Source organism: Homo sapiens, chromosome 14, assembly GCF_000001405.40.
Source record: "Homo sapiens chromosome 14, GRCh38.p14 Primary Assembly".
Lineage (NCBI taxonomy): Eukaryota > Metazoa > Chordata > Mammalia > Primates > Hominidae > Homo > Homo sapiens.
In genome coordinates, this window is record NC_000014.9 from 104,590,557 (window position 1) to 104,605,786 (window position 15,230).

The 15,230-nt window shown below is 60.8% G+C and overlaps 1 protein-coding gene across 7 annotated transcripts; it reads right to left on the minus strand.

Annotated features, from left to right (window-relative positions):
* Positions 1-307: 307 nt before the first annotated feature.
* On the minus strand, positions 308-14,216 carry TMEM179 (transmembrane protein 179). 7 transcript variants are annotated; one of them, XM_011536745.3, is made up of 6 exons: positions 9,436-14,216; positions 7,779-8,490; positions 7,141-7,219; positions 6,434-6,571; positions 4,609-4,687; positions 308-3,102 (listed from the first exon to the last, which is right to left on the minus strand). In XM_011536745.3, exons 2-6 carry the CDS (start codon positions 7,864-7,866, stop codon positions 2,923-2,925), a joined length of 564 nt encoding a protein of 187 aa, XP_011535047.1. In that variant the 5' UTR covers positions 7,867-8,490; positions 9,436-14,216; the 3' UTR covers positions 308-2,922. The 7 variants fall into 7 exon arrangements, 5 of the variants coding, with proteins under 5 accessions (XP_011535047.1, XP_011535052.1, NP_001273318.1 ...); XM_011536750.2 differs by lacking the exons at positions 7,779-8,490; positions 9,436-14,216 and adding an exon at positions 6,858-7,005 and having other exon boundaries at positions 7,141-7,228; XR_002957551.2 differs by lacking the exons at positions 308-3,102; positions 7,141-7,219; positions 7,779-8,490 and adding exons at positions 3,109-3,520; positions 3,672-3,839 and having other exon boundaries at positions 13,881-14,216.
* Between the last annotated feature and the right edge of the window lie 1,014 nt (positions 14,217-15,230).

The window sequence follows — 15,230 nt, forward strand, 5'->3', positions numbered from 1 at the left end:
TTCGAAATGGATCCTCCCACCTGGGGAAGCTGCATGGGAAGCAGTGAGACTCGAAGCCACTAGAAAATGTACAGAGAGGAAGGCAGAACCTCGGGAAGGCCAACTTCTAATTCCTAAAAGCTTCGGACACGAAAGGCTCAAAGCCTGAGCAAACTGTGTGTGACCCACAAATTACAGACAGTTAGAACCACGAGCCAGGCCAGCCAACAGCGGAGAGGGCAGACAGAAGCCCCACACGCTCCTCCTCATCCCTGTTGGAGACTCGGGTGCTTTTGTTTTTATTTTGATTTTGAGGAATAGACACATGTAAGCTTAAGGATCTTTACTTTCAGTTTAGCCAGAGTGGAATTAGAACAGGGATATCATTAACAGCCAGCCAGGACAGAAGCGAAGGCGTCTCAGAAGCAACTTGGTGGACCAGCCTCAGGAACCCCGGGTCATGCCTGCACTTCCCACCTTCCTGCCTGGGGAGAGGCCCAATCCCCTGAGGGACCCTGGAGAGCCCACGACCAGGGCCGCCAGCCCCTGCCCAGCACACTGCAGGCCCAGCTGCCCCTTCCCAGGGCGATGTGTCTGGGCTCCGGAGACAGCCCAGTCCAGGGTGGGTCTATGTCTGCATGCAGCCGAGGATTTCCATCACCCTGGCCATGGGGCTGTTCCACACCTGCTCCTGGGATCCAGCAGTGCAGCCCCCAAGAACAGACCCAACCGGGGCCAAGCCTCAGGTTCCAGAAGCCACCCCTGCCTCCTGCCCCTCCTTCAGGGCCCTAGATGGCTGTGGCCTGGATCAGGGCTGGGCAGAGGGTGAGGCAGGAGCCACCCCACCTTCTGCTGGGGACACAGACAAGGAGCTCTCCGGACTGGAAAGAGTCCCCATGTCCAGTGGGTCAGGGCTGGAAGGGGAGACAGGGGACCCCATCAGCTTAGGGGGCCTCGGATTCTGTCCAAACCCCTTCCCTCGAGGACCTGGCTGCCAGCTGGAAACTCAGCTGGTCCCCAAGGCCAGAGCCCCCTTGAGCTTCCAGAGCCTCGATCCCCCTGGACTTGACACCCCCGATGGGCACCTGCCAGCCTCACTCCCGGGACCCAGGATGATGCCCCCACCAGGACCCTCCATGTGGACCCAGGCACGTGGCCTCCAGGAGGCTGGTGCCCAGCCACCCAGAGACACAAGCCAGCTGCTGATGGTGGACAGGGTGGGTCATGAACTCAGGGAGCCAGGGGCTCGCCTCTCCCCGGGAAGGTGGGCGCAGCAGCAGGGAGCACTTGGCAGCACTCGAGCCAAGAAACGGACAGCCCCTCATCGAGCCCCGGGTGGGGAGGCCCCCCGCCTCCGCCCCCGCCCCAGAACGAGTCCTCTGGAGGTGGACCCTGGGCTTTCCTGAGGGGCAGGGTCCACAGCCAAGCAGCCCCCTACGCCGGGGTCCCAGGTTCACATCCCAGCTCCTCCACTTGCTTCTGCGGGGCCTCAGCACACAGACTCTGCAGAATGGGAAGGCAGCTCCCTCCTCTCTCAGGTGGATGCTGGGCGTGGGAGCCCATGGGAGGGGCAGAGGGGCTGTCCACACAGCACCCACGGCTCCCATCACGCACACAATGCTCACACGCACAGGCGTGCACATGCTCACATGCAACACACGCACATTCACATGCACTTACGCACATGCTGCACACACTGCAGACACACCTGCCTAGACACTCACACCTACACACTCTTCCTCACACTCACATGCATGCACACTCATGTCACAGGGAGTCACACCCTCACACTCACATCCTCCCAGGCACACTCACAATCAAGCCTTCACACGCACAACAGTCACACCCTCACATGCAGTCACACCCACATGCACACTCATGCACAATCACATCCTCCCAGGCAGTCACTCGCACATGCAGTCACACATTCACTCACAGGCAGTCACACTCTCATGCACTCAGTCACACCCTCACATGCACACTCATGCACACTCATATCCTCCCATGCAGTCACACACTCTCACATGCAGTCACACCCTCTCGTGCACACTCAGTGACACCTTCACATGCAGTCACACCTGCACTGTCACACCCACACATGCACACTCAGTCACATCCTCTCATGCACTCATATACACAATCACACCCTCCCATGCACAAAGGCACTCACAATCACATCCTCCCATACTCACCCACACACAGACCCCTGCCATGGCTCCTGGCCCAGTCCTCTATGTGGTACGTGTGCCCCCGAAATCCCCAACCAGATGATGCCCCCGATTCTGTGGAGCCCAGATTACCACTTCCCTGACCCTCAGCCAAGCACAGACAGGACCCACACACAGTGAGGTGAACTCACAGGCCTCAGAAGCCTCCCTGAGCCCGGCCACAGGGTCTCCCAGGCCTATGGCACCCACCCAGGAGGGGGACTCAGCTGGGGAGGGGGCCAACCTGGGGCCAGAGGCTGGAAGGTGCCGTGAGCTCCTCCCCACACGCAGCCTCTGCCTGGATGGCAGAATTCATGCAGAATTCGTTCAGGGCTAAGTGACATCTGGCCACCCCTGGGCCAGCTGGCATGGAGACAGCATCCGGCCAGGGTTGGGGGAGACAAGCTGGACGCCCTCCACATAGGCTGGCCAGTCAGGTCCTACTGGGACAGCCAAGGGGCCCTGTGCGAGGCCTGGAGGTGCCCCCCGCCCCCGCCCCACACCCATAGTCTCTCTGCACCATCCTCATCAGGGAGCCGGCACCCACCCAGTCCACTGCCAGGCTCACAGGTGGGCACTGGGGCGCTCACCTCACTACACGTGGCGTCGAGGGGACACACGCAGGGCTGCATGTGGCCAGGGCCCAGGCAGAGCCCCCCAGCTGCTTCCCCAGGCAGGCCCGTGCCCCCGAGCGCAGCAGGGAGGTCGGGGCCAGCTCCCCCTGCCTGCACTGTGCCTAAATGACAGCGCTCTTCTCCTCTTGGAAGGAGGTGCGTGGGGACGGCCGGGCCAGCAGCAGCTCCTTCTCGTGGATCAGGCTGTCCAGCAGGTCCTCCTGACGGTAGTTGTGGTAGACCTTCAGGAAGGCCAGCGTGGTGATGGCCAGCCAGGCCAGCCATGAGGCCCAGAGGCCAAACTGCACAGAGGGCAGGGTCAGGGTCAGAAGCCGTTGGGGGTCCGCTGTCAGTGCAACCCCCTCCCACCAGCCCCCAGGCTCTGCTCTGCAGGGAAAGGACAGGACTCAGAGGAAGGAGGAGGCCGGGGACATGGGGCAGGGCCAGCTCCTGAAGACCCTGCCCAAGATCAAGCTTCTGAGTTCCTTCCTGCAGCCAGCATCGTTTTCCAGCACCTGTGGCCCTCCCGGAACCCACTCTGGTGCAAAAGCCCTGGGCACTCAGACCAACCCTCACTCCAGGCCGGCCAGAGGCCCCGAGGAGGGGCAGTGGCCAGTGGCGAGTGCTTTCTCCTCCAGCAGCTCCGGCCTGTCGGCTCTAAGGAGGGCGGGTAAACAGCGGAGGCTCCTCCAACCACCGGAATAAATTGACCTTTAGCCGCTGTTTCCAAACAGTTGAAGGAGAAACAATTTAATCAGAACCAGGCCTGAGCTACATTAAGCTGATTCTCATTTGAGCGTATTTGCCATCAGACTGCACTCACACCTTAATCCAACTGGCACAAATTAGGCCTGAGGCCTCTTCCACTCACTAAATTTGCATGAAGGTGTCTTTGACAGGTCCAGTTCATCTCGGCAAAGAGCATTCAGGCCCACCCATGTCCAGCACCCTTGGAGGGCTCCTGGCCAGGAGAAGCGTCCTCAGGCCAGCCACGGCCAGCAAGAGCCTTCAGAGGCCAGCCTGGGGTCCGGAATTGGACCTGAAGCCAGCGGGCCCTGATCAGTGCTGGCAGGAGCCAGGTGTCTGGTCTCAGCCACCCCCACCCGGCACCCCTCATCTGCCTCATCTCCGTCTGGGGCACATCTGCAGATTTCAAGGGGCAAACCCAATTCCAGGGTTCCCCCTCCGGCCCTCACGGGCCACTGATGTGTCCCCACATGCCTGCATTTCAGCAAATAGCGTCCCTCAGAGTGGGGGCCACCATCGCCCTCCACCAAGTCTCCTAGGGGGCGGGGGACGCAGCTTATACAAGGGCAGGGTGGCAAATCTGAATTCACAAGTGGGATCCCCTGCCTCCTTCCTTGGACTCTGTATCAGCTTCCCCCTGGCTAGGGGACTCCTCTAAGCCTCCAGCTCTGATCTGAACAGGCCCACCCAGCGCCAGCACCAAAGTCCAAAGCCCTTGTCCCTACACTGGACCCCCAGGATCTGATGCCTGGTTTCGTTTCTGGCACCACCTCCCCCCACACCCCCACACTTCCCACCCCAGACCCCAGGGCCTTGCCACTTCCTGATTCTAACTCACTGTGGCCATCTCCTCCCCAAACCCACCTACAAAAGCCCAGCTCTCCCCCACCTCCTGCAGGAAGCCTTCCCGACTGCTCCCACTGCCTGGTCCCATTGCTAACTACCTTATCCACACAGGAGCCTGCCTCCTCCTCTGGATGGGGGAGAGCTCAGCAAATGTCCAGCAGTAAATGGCCCCCTCCCAGCATTGCAAGCCTCCCTTCTTGCCCAGAGCCCCCTACCTGGGCAATTGCAAACTGATCGTAGAAGGCGGAGTTGTCCACGCCCAGCTCCAAGTCGATGTCCTGGAGCTCTTCACAGCTAAAACAGCAGGACATAGGGTGGAGGGTGACCACCAGGACAGCCAGTGCGGGACATGGCTGAGCCGCTGGCCAGAGAGCCAGGAGCTTTGCCCTACAATTGTTGGGCGAGGGGGTGGGCAGCAGGGAGTCTCTGGGGACATCACGGAGGGTTAGCCTCGATGCCTCCTCCATGGAGCAGGACAGCCTTTGGGGAAGGAAACCTCCAGGCCCCTCCCTGTCCTGGCCCTGGACAGCCAGAAGACGCCAGCTCTGCCTCTGCCCTCCTGGACCCTCTGCCCCCCATGCCCCACACTCTGAGGATCACGGGGTCTCAGAGGCCAGGCCCCTCCCTGTCCTGACCCAGGACGGCCGGAAGACGCCAGCTCAGCCTCTGCTTTTCTGGACCCTCTGCCCCCCATGCCCCACACTCTGAGGGTCACAGGGTCTCAGAGGCAGGAGATGCAGGGCTGCCTCAGCCAGACAGAGATGGAGGTGGCATCCCCACCAACGCTGCCCAGAAGCTCTGCCCCCATCACGGAGGCATCTGTGGAAGCAGTGGGCATCAGAGGGCCCAGGAGTGAGCCAGGCCTGGGCTCCCGGTAGGTGTCCTGCACCCCCAACATAAAACGTGAAGCCAGGACACATTGACAGGAGCAGGGTGCCAGAAAGAGGGGGCCCAGCGGCCCCAAATCCCTGGAGGGGCTGAAGGGCTGGAAACAGTGTCTGTGAGGCCAAGGAAACTTTGCGTGTGTACCAGAGGTTGCCCACACTCTTGGGAAGCAGGTGGCCCGAGCCAGCAGGCAGAGCTGGGACAGTGCACGATGAGGCACAGGGCACAGCTCAGCACAGGAGGCCCTGCAGGGCCACACACCCAGGTGCTCCTGCTTTCCTCTGGTTTGTGCCCCAGCTACCCCAGGGTGGAGGCACGGAACAGACAGGCAGGGAGCCCCTTCAGCTCTGCTGCATCTGTTGCAGATGCTGGGGTTTCAGGTCTGGGTTTGCTTAAAGGAAGAATGTGGAAACTCTGGAGGGTTCCTGTCTTCCAGGGTTTTGGCCTGGGGCACTGCATGGTGCCCCTCAGGGCGGGGCATCCCACTGTGGGGGGCAGGCAGTCACTGTGCTCCACTCTGGGGCCCCCCACAAGCCAGATGATGCCCCTGCTAAGATCCCAGAGGGACCACCATGGCTCAAAGGCCTCCATCCCCAACCCGCCTGGGAGCTGACCCTCACCCTGCCAGAAGCTTCCTCTGCTCCTGTTCTTCACCATCCCCGTCCCTTCCACCATCTTCCAAACTCCTCACCATGAGGACCAAAGCCCTGAGCCTAATGCTCCCTGGGCTCTCCCATGCAGCCAGCACAGGACAGAAGCCCCACAGTCTCCGGCTGTGTGGCCACACCGAGCCTCCCAGGACCCGGGGCCATGCTGCACGGGATCTGTCATCTAAGCCCTGGTGGCAAGAACAGGGCAGCCAGAGTCCCTGACCACCTGGAGCCACCCCCAGCTGTATCCAGCCCTAGGGATGATCGCTCTTGTGTGACGTGTGATGCTGCCGGCTCCTAGGGCGGGAAGGTGTCTGACATTGCAGGGTGGGTCTCAGGGAAGGGGCTGCACAGGTATGCACAGGCAGGGGCACAGTGCACAGTGGGACCAGGGACCGCAGACTCAGGATGGGCTTCGTGAGGGAAGATCACCCACAGCAGGGCAGGGTGTCAAGGGATCTTCCGGGGAGGTGGGCGGAGGCCGAGGCGGGTGGGGCGGGCGCACCTGTGGGGTACGGTGCCCTTCTCGGTGATGGTGTCGCACCACATGGTGAAGCCCACGCTCACGATGGTGCTGGCAATGAAGACCAGGAAGACCACGAAGGCGCTGACCAGGAGGTTCAGGAAGGCGGAGAAGAAGGAGCTGCAGCCAGAAACAGGAGGGGCAGGCTCACTGGACACCACCTCCCAGGCGACCCCCGCCCCCAGGCTGCAGCCAGAAACAGGAGGGGCAGGCTCACTGGACGCCATCTCCTGGGCAACCCCCACCAGCAGCACCCCCCGGACCCTCAGGATTCCTGGGTTGGGCCCTGTGGGGCCTCAAGGAGTTGTTCCCCCTGCCTGCGGTCCCTCGGGCAGCTCCGTGTGCCCACCCTGGGCTGCAGGTCACACCTTCCCAAAGACCCAGGACCTGGAACCCTGGTCCCCACCATTTCATAAAAGAGGCTGCACCCAGGGTGGAAGTGAATGACACCCTTCCAAAGCCGTCCAGCCACAGTCACCAGCAACTCTGGCCCAGGTGCTTGTGTCCCCCCAAATCCATATGTTCCAGTCCACTGAGGGGTTAGAAAGTGGGGCCTTTGGGAAGAGAGGAGGTCATGAGGGTGAAGCCTCATGAATGAAATGAGTGCCCTCCTAGGAGAGACCCCACCAAGCGAGCTCCCAGCAGATAACGACACAGCAAGAGGAACGGGCCCTCAGCAGGCATCGAACCTGGATCCCAGCCTGGATCGCAGACCTCTAGCCTCCGGAAGTGTGAGCAGTAAATGCCTGTTGTTTACAAGACCCCAGCCTGTGATGCCGAGAGCTTCCATTCACCCGCAGGTCATCAGCGCGTGGCCTGGACCCCTGGTAGGACTTGCTTGATGGGCCAGCTCTGATTTATCCATTTAAACTTAAAAGGCCAGGCTGTGATTGGGCCCATCTGACCAGGGCCAGAGCATGGGGAGCGCAGGAGGCAGGGCCATGAGGAAGGAGCTCACTTAGGGCTGGGCCACACTGCCCCAGGGGTCTGAGGCCTCTGCCAGGGCGCACACGGCCATGGCTTTCAGAGGATGCTCGTGTTTCCTCTTCTGAGGATACCGGGCAGGTGGTCGGGACACCCACCCCACCCGGCCCTCCTGCCTGGCCTGCAAACGTCCATCATCTCTGAATTGCTCCATCAAGATTCAAAGTCCCTCGAATGGGCCTGGGGTGGGCTCAGCCTGGAATGCACACGGAGGCTCCGGGGGGTAGGGAGAGGGGGTAGGGATAGGGACTGTCCCTCCAGTGGGAGCCCTGAGGGGGACTTCCTCACGGGCGGACACCAGCACTAGCAGCATGGCTGAGAAGGGGCTGCTCCCGCCTCTCACCTGCCAGCAGGCTCGATGTTAGCCTGCATGCTGTCAGCACACTGGATCTAAGGGAGGTGACCCACAGAAACAGCTTCACAGCGATCATTTAATAAACAAGGTCTCCCTGGAATCTCAGCCAAGAAAACATCAACGCTACCGTCATCCGAACTCGGCAGCTGCTGATGAGGCAAAGTGGAGGCCAGCGCATTGTCTGTTCATTCATTCAGCAGGCACTTTCTGAGCACCTGCTCGCCCTGTGCTGGACACAGAGGGCAGAGTGATACAAAAGACGAAGTCCTGGCCCCGGGAGGTGCCCCAGCCAACGTGCTGAGGATAAACCCAGGCCACAGCGCCCAACTCAGAGCAGGCGACACCAGGCTGCTTTGTAACATCTGGTGCCTCCAAGGAGCCCGTCCACTGGCCCCAGTCCCGGACACACTGTTTTGGTGACTGCTGGGCTGACAGCAGAACCACCCCCCAGGAACGGGAGGGTTTGAGCCACCCCAGGGAGTCCCAGACAAGGGGAGAGGACACAGGGACACTCTTAAAGCCATGGGCTGTGATCCAACAACCACACCAACGAGGGCAGGACCAGCAGGACTCACACACGTACGCGTGGGGGGTGACCGAGCCTCTGCCCAGGCCTCATGGCTGAAGATGGCTGGAGAGTGGGTACCGTGTGCCAGTAGACAAGCCACAACCCCCATCACAGCGCCACATCCAAAGCTCTCTGAAGACAGAAAGAGCAGCGGCAAAAGTTCGCCAGGATGGGTGTGGGGCCATTCTCGGTCCCTCTCCAGCCCAGTGTGCTGTGAGTCTCAGAGCTGTCACACATGGGACTGGCTCCATCCGCCCTGCCCAAGCCTGAATCACCATGTGCCAGTGTCTCCCGCCTGCTCTTCAGAGTGCGTCTCCTTCTCCATTCTCTGTCTGGAGGCTGAAAGGTGTGGACCATGGCAATGGCCCCGTGCCCTCTGGCTTCCGGCTGGGTTTGGGCAATGGGGTGGGAGGGCGGGAGAGCAAGGTGGGAATTTGCTACCAGGTCCCTCCACTGAAAGTCACTGCTCCTCTCCAGGTGACCCACCCATCCAGGTCCCGTTAGCCAGGGATGGGGACAGCACCACCTCCACTGACCCCATGAACCCCACCACTTCATCTCTTGTCAACCAGCCCTCCTTCAATGACCTTTCCTTGGGTGAGCCATCTGCTGCTGCTGGGACCCTGAGGACACAGTTCTGAACCCCAAAATCCATCTGGCCTGGGGGTGCAAATGAGGGGCTAGGGGCCTATAGTCACAGAGCGGAACGCAGTAAGCCCGCCCCACCTCTGCAGTCTTGGACCAGCTGCTCCGCCCCAGCCAAGGAGAAGGTGGTGGCGAGGCACGGCCAGGGTCAGCTCCACAGCCAGAGGCAAGGAAGGGGCCACTGCCATGGTCCACACCTTTCAGCCTCCAGAGAGAGAATGGAGAAGGAGACGCACTCTGAAGAGCAGGGTCTTTCAGACCCTGAAAGACCCTGGTGCCTGCAAATACCTGGCCCAGTGCACCTGAGATACGGCAGAGGCTCTGGGCCCAGGCGACCCACTGTCCCCTTCCCACCACTGAGCATGGGCCACAACACAACCTCCAACAGACAGAAAAGCCAATTATCTGGAGACTTCAAACATCCAGCCTCACCCCTATGAAATGGCCCGATTTTGGAGTCTTCTCCCATGACCAGATCGAGGAGTTCCCCATGAGATAGGGAAGGGACCCCAGGCTGGGGCCGCTGCCAGCTGACAGCCTCGGTCTGTTCCTCTCATTCCTTTCTGGTCGGTTTCCAGGGATCCTGCCCAGGCTGTCCAGGTCGTTGAAGAATTGGATGTGTCCAGAGCATCCCCGGATCCAGCTCCCCAGAGGTCACAGGGCCACCCAGCCCCTCCCTCACCAAGGCCAGGCCAGGACAGTGGTCAGGAACAGGAGCCCGGCACATGCAGGGTTAACCCTGTCTCTCTTCACTGCCGCTCAGGGTGCCCTGCCAGGATGTGCCATCTCCATGGTGACCGCTGTCCTGGAAAGCCCAGCAATGTGAAGGCTCAGCGCCGGCACGGGCAGGCAGATGAGTTTAACGCAGCATCCCTCCGGCCCGCCAACCACAAACTGCTGCCAGCCCACGTGCTCAATCCTCCCTCAGCACAGCTGCCCCAGGCCCACGGCTGCCTCAGCAAACCCTTCTGCCCCGAAATGGCAAGCCTCTCTGAAGCACAGGTGCCATTCCATTCATTCATCCATTCATTCATTCATTCATTCATTCATTTACTCATTCATTCATTCATTCATTCATTCACTCATTCACTCAGCAGCCAATAATGGAGCATCAAGATGACACTCCTCTGCAAAAAGCTACCCCCAGACTAATTTTCACACTTCTGGGCACGAGCTCTCAGGGCCCAGACTCTGCATGAAAGACACCCCCATAGGAAGAGGAAGCTGGCACCTGAGACATGGCCTCTGCTCCACAAGCTCTGGACGTGCCATGTGCCCCTCAAACAGACCTCACACAGGCCTTGCCCTCACACTGGCAGGAGGGCAGCCGGGTGGCCCCTGGAGGTGGAGTCCCCTTTAGAGGGTTAGAGCATGTGCTGTCCTAAACAGGCCCAGACCTCTAGCAGCCAGAGTCTGATGGGGTCAGTGGGCTCCTCCCTGGGCTGGACGTCCAGTGGCCGTCGATGGCCCTGAGAGCCCTTGTCCACCACATGAGCTCCCTGTAAAGGCCCGTCTCAGCTCCGTGGCTGGTCCTGAGTCCCCTTTACCTACCTGGCACTTGCTCACCTAGTCTATGCAGCTGGACCAACAATTGAGTTGGAATTGGCTGCTCTGTCGCTGGACCCTGCAGACCCCATCTTCCCAGGGGTCCAGAACTTCCTGACATGGCAAGTCTGAAGGGTGGACCTGTTGGCCAGATAACTGAGTCTGCACAGGTATCGGGGCCAGGTGAGTGACCACAAGGCAGCAGGCCTCAGGACCCAGGCATCTTTCTGTCAGTCATTCAACAAACATTATCTGGGGACTCCTACGCACCATCCCCTGTGCTCAGCCCTAAGGACACAGAGATGAATAAGGTGCATGTCTGCCTTGGCTTCACCCAGCTGTGGGTCCCCTAGGGTGGGGTCCCCTGGGGGGGGACCCATGGCCTGAGATGGCTCTTGAGAGCGTTAACCTTCGCCTACAACCAGAACTCAATGGAGTGCTGACACGTTTGACAGATGTCACCCCACAAGCCGTCTGCCAATGGACTGTGCAGTGCATGAGGTGGGGGACAGGTGGCCACATGACCACGTGAACTGAGCCACTAATTCCTGATGGTCAAGAAGGACACAGGCACCAGATGTCCCTGGAAAAGAGCAGGCTGGGCGGAGGTCAGTGGTGGGAGGATTGGTGAACCCCTGAACTGAAGCAAAGGAGCTGAACCTGAAATGCTCCGCCACAGGCCCCTTCCTGACAGCAGGAGCTGCCCGGACCTGACCTCCAGTGGGGTCAAGGCCATGGTGAGCCTCCACAATGTAGCCCCCCTCGACAACCCTAACCCTCACCCTAACCCCCACAGGCCTGAGCATACCAGGCCGTCTAAGGCTTCCTAAATCCCATATGGGCCGGTCAGCAGGGCTGCAGCAGAGGCCACACAGCTGGCCTGCATCCCAGCCGGCTCCACCCCTTGGGAGGATGGAACACCACAAAGAGTGCTGGGAAGGCCTGCAGACTCCCCAGGAATCTGTTTTCTGCCTTTGGAAGGAGATGGTGCTGGCAGTTTGCCACGGCTGACAGACAGTCACCTTCCGTGAGATGGCAAGAGGCAGAGCTGCTGTTACGGCATCCCTGGGCCTGCCGCCCAGTGTGTGCGAAATAGACCATACCCTGTGCGACCTGGACTCCTGTCTTGCAAGCTCTGGGGCTCTTTTCTCCCCTCTCCCTGTCCCCCAGCTTCTGGTGGAACCCCCTATAAAATCTCCCATCACTCTGACCACATAGCTGGGTCCTATCTAGAGAGCCACCCTCTGTCAGCCCCAGCTGGACCACAGGCACCCTGAGGGACACCCAGGAGGTGAAGAAGTGCGTGAGCGATGAACCAACTGTGGCCCCACCTGGCCTGCACCCTCCACCCTCAGCTTCCCAGACTAAAGGGACCTCAAGCGTTGGGAGGCTGACCCTACTCGCTGGCTGTCCCACTCCCTCTTCACACCTGTCTCATTCAGGGAGGCTTCCACCTGCCTGCCCTGCATGCACAGCATGGACTGGGCAACTCTTGGGTTTGGCAACATGGGTGCAGATGACGTCTCAAGCCTCTTCTTGGGACACCAGCCCTGGAGTGGGCTGAGGGAAGGAGGACGGCTGCAAATGGGCAGGACACCACCCTGCGCCCGGCCTGACCCCACCTTGAGCAGGGCTCCAGCCACACAATTTGGGCCCATGGCCCCACAGTACCTGGGTCCTCCCAGGCTGACAGCCAGCTTTCTACTGACCCCCATCCAGAACCTTAGTGTCGTGGGTTGAATGGTGTCCCCCGAAAGATATGCCCAAGTCCCACCCCTGGTACCCGTGACTGTGACTTTGTTTGGAAATAGCATCTTTGCAGGTGTAATTAAGCTCTGGATCTCAGGATATCTCCCTGAGTTTAGAGTGGGCCCTGAATCCAGTGACTGGTGTCCCTGTAAAAAGAGGGAGGACAGAGCAGAGCAAAGGCGCCCTGTGAGGACAGCGGCAGAGGGTGGTGGGACAAGTGGGTTTCAGTCCAGTTGGTGCAACTGTGCTGCAGCAGCCCCAGGGCGCTCCTACCCACAGGCGCTGGGATTCTCATTCCTCCTCCAGAGTTTGCAGCCCCACTCAGCATAGCCCTGGCTCCCTCCCTTCTCCCTGAAGCCCCTCTTCTTCCCCTCTCTGGCCCCTCTCTCAGCCAAAACCAAGCGGTGGGCTCACAGCGGGGGCAACAGGAGGGCTTCCCCACTCCTGCCGCCCACACCCCTCTGAGCCCTTCTCATCTCCCACCTGCGTGCAGGAAGTGAAAACCTACAACAAAGGATGGGGGTGAGGGCAGAGTTTGGGAGGAGCCTGGGTTTCATGAGTGCTCTCCCGGAACCTCTACAGGATCTCGGGCTGCTCCTGGGCACAGCAGGCCTCAGCCAGGGGAGTGGGAGGGCCCACAGAGGGCACCCACAGAGGGAGTGGGTGGGTTCACAGAGGGAGTGGGTGGGCTCACAGAGGGGGTGGGTGGGCTCACAGAGGGGGTGGGTGGGTTCACAGAGGGGGTGGGTGGATTCACAGAGGTGGTAGATGGGCTCACAGAGGGCACCCACAGAGGGAGAGGGTGGGTTCACAGAGGGAGTGGGTGGGCTCACAGAGGGAGTGGGAGGGTTCACAGAGAGCACCTGCAGAGGGAGTGGGTGGGCCCCCAGAGGGCCCCCAGGGTGCCACTGGCTAAGGGTGTCACCGCACCCCAGGTGAACCAGGTTGTATGGGCTCCAGTATCTAGCCGGAGCAGGAAAGAGAAAGAGGAAAATGCAGGCCAGGAGGAGGAAGGCGCTGAGCCCACAAGGCACAGCCCTCGCCCTGCAGTCTCTCTCCAGCTCCCCATCCAAGGCCTGAGCTCGAGGTGGGCCTGGGTGGCTCCCCTCCAGACAGCCATCTGCCGTCCCTTTCCCGGGGCGATGGTGCCGGGTGGGGCTCCCCAGTTCGCCTTGTCACTGGGACCTGGAGAGCTCAGTGCAAGCCCTAGACCGGGCTGGGAGTTGTCGCCGGTCCTGGCGAGTGTGGCCCGGCTGAGCCCGCCCAGGAAGGTCCAGGCCTGCTGGGTGATGACAGTGCAACATCTGCAACCCAAGGGAGCAGATGCCCGGAAGCGGGAGGTGATGCGCAGCTGGGGAGGGGAGGCACTGGCCTTGTACGCAGGACCGGTGGTCGTCATGGTCCCTGGATGTGTGTGTAGACAAAGGGCGGTCTGAGTGGAGGGGGTGAGGGCGGATTGTTGACATTTGCGGGCCTCGGAGCTGCCTGAGAGACGGAGGGACTCGCGCGCCTCCCCGGGGAGGTGGGTCTGGGGGCGCTGGGGGCATGGAAGGGGCGCCGCGCCGGGAGCGGCCCCCACTTACCCCTCGTGTCCCTTGCAGAGGAAGAAGAGCGTGCGCCAGGCGTGCGCGGCGGCCAGCAGCAGAGACAGGAGGCTGGCGAGCAGGCTGAAGCGGCAGGCGGCCGGCGGGCCCCACTCCTGCACCGTGAAGCGCTCGCGCTCCTGCACCGTGAGGTTGGCGCTCAGCCACATGCCCTCGGTGAAGAGCAGGCAGCGGCCGCGGAAGTCGTGGCCGTTCTCGGACAGCGGGACCACCACCACGAAGCTGAACAGGAAGGCCAAGAAGTAGCAGGCGCACTGAGCGAAAAGGAAATTGTTGAGCGCCATGGCCGGCCCGGGCGAGAGCGGCGGCGGGAAGGCCGCGGGAGGCTGCGCCGGGCGGGGAGGCCGCGGGAGGCTGCGCAGTGGCGGCGCCGGCAGGTCCCGCGCGCCCCTCCCGGGACGCGTGCGCATCGGCCGAGCGCGGGAAGCGCCTGCGGTCAGCACCGCGGACAGCTCCTGGTGCGCGCGGGCCAGGAGCCCGGGGTCCAGGGGCCAGAGAAGGGCGGCCTGCGGGAGATGCGGGAATTTTACCAGGTCGGCCTGGAGGGACCGACCCTGTGCCGCTAAAGACTTCGGGAGCCACCTGTACGGGCCTCACACAGGCCGACTCTGGGTCGTCAGTTCCTCATCAGCTCGAACGAAAGGAGACCAGGAGAGAGAGGGCGGGGCGGGGGGTGTTGGAGGACACCCCCAAGGTGCTCATAGTGAGGTGTAGGAGTGCGGTTTGCAGTCCAGGCTGAAGTGATTCCTTTGCGGGGGTCCCGAAATGCAATGTATGAGGGGAGGGGCCAGATCGTGGAGGAGTCGGGGTCCAAGGGACTGGGACAGAGGTCATCCTCGAAGAGATGGGGAGGGTGAGGCCAGGTGTGGGCAGGAGGGGGTGGACCGGGAGCTTCTGCAGCGCCAGCCCTCCGCGGGGACGTGTGTTACACTGCCTGACATGGGCAGGACCCTGGAGCTGCATTTGTAAGATAAATAATGGGTGTCCCGAGCGCCTCATTAAGACATCTTTGCTGAGATGGAAATCGCTGAGGCATTAATTAATAGAATTAATGCCTTTTCTAGTTGCCTTTAAGACTAAGTCACCTTTAGTCCAATTCCCAGAGTGAGGAAGCCTTAACATTGCTCCTCCTGGTTTAAAATTCCATCAGCATTTTTGTTGCAAGCATTAAAAAATATTTTTGTTTTATTGACTAAGTAATATATGCTCATTTCTTAAGTCAAGTAATAGAGATATGTATACAATAAAATAGAAAGCCTTCTCCTCATCCCCCTCCCCTACCCCATCACACTACCAGGGGTGACCACTTCAATAGCCTGGCATCTATTT

What these genes read in the sequence shown, in the direction of transcription:
- TMEM179 (NM_001286389.2), bottom strand. Translation starts at nt 14,185, where the DNA reads ATGGCGCTCAACAATTTCCTTTTCGCTCAGTGCGCCTGCTACTTCTTG. An exon ending in AAGGGCACCGTACCCCACAG is followed by an intron (nt 4,688 to 6,433) that starts GTGCGCCCGCCC and finishes CTGCTGTTTTAG; the next exon opens with CTGTGAAGAGCTCCAGGACA. An exon ending in ATCAGTTTGCAATTGCCCAG is followed by an intron (nt 3,103 to 4,608) that starts GTAGGGGGCTCT and finishes CCCTCTGTGCAG; the next exon opens with TTTGGCCTCTGGGCCTCATG.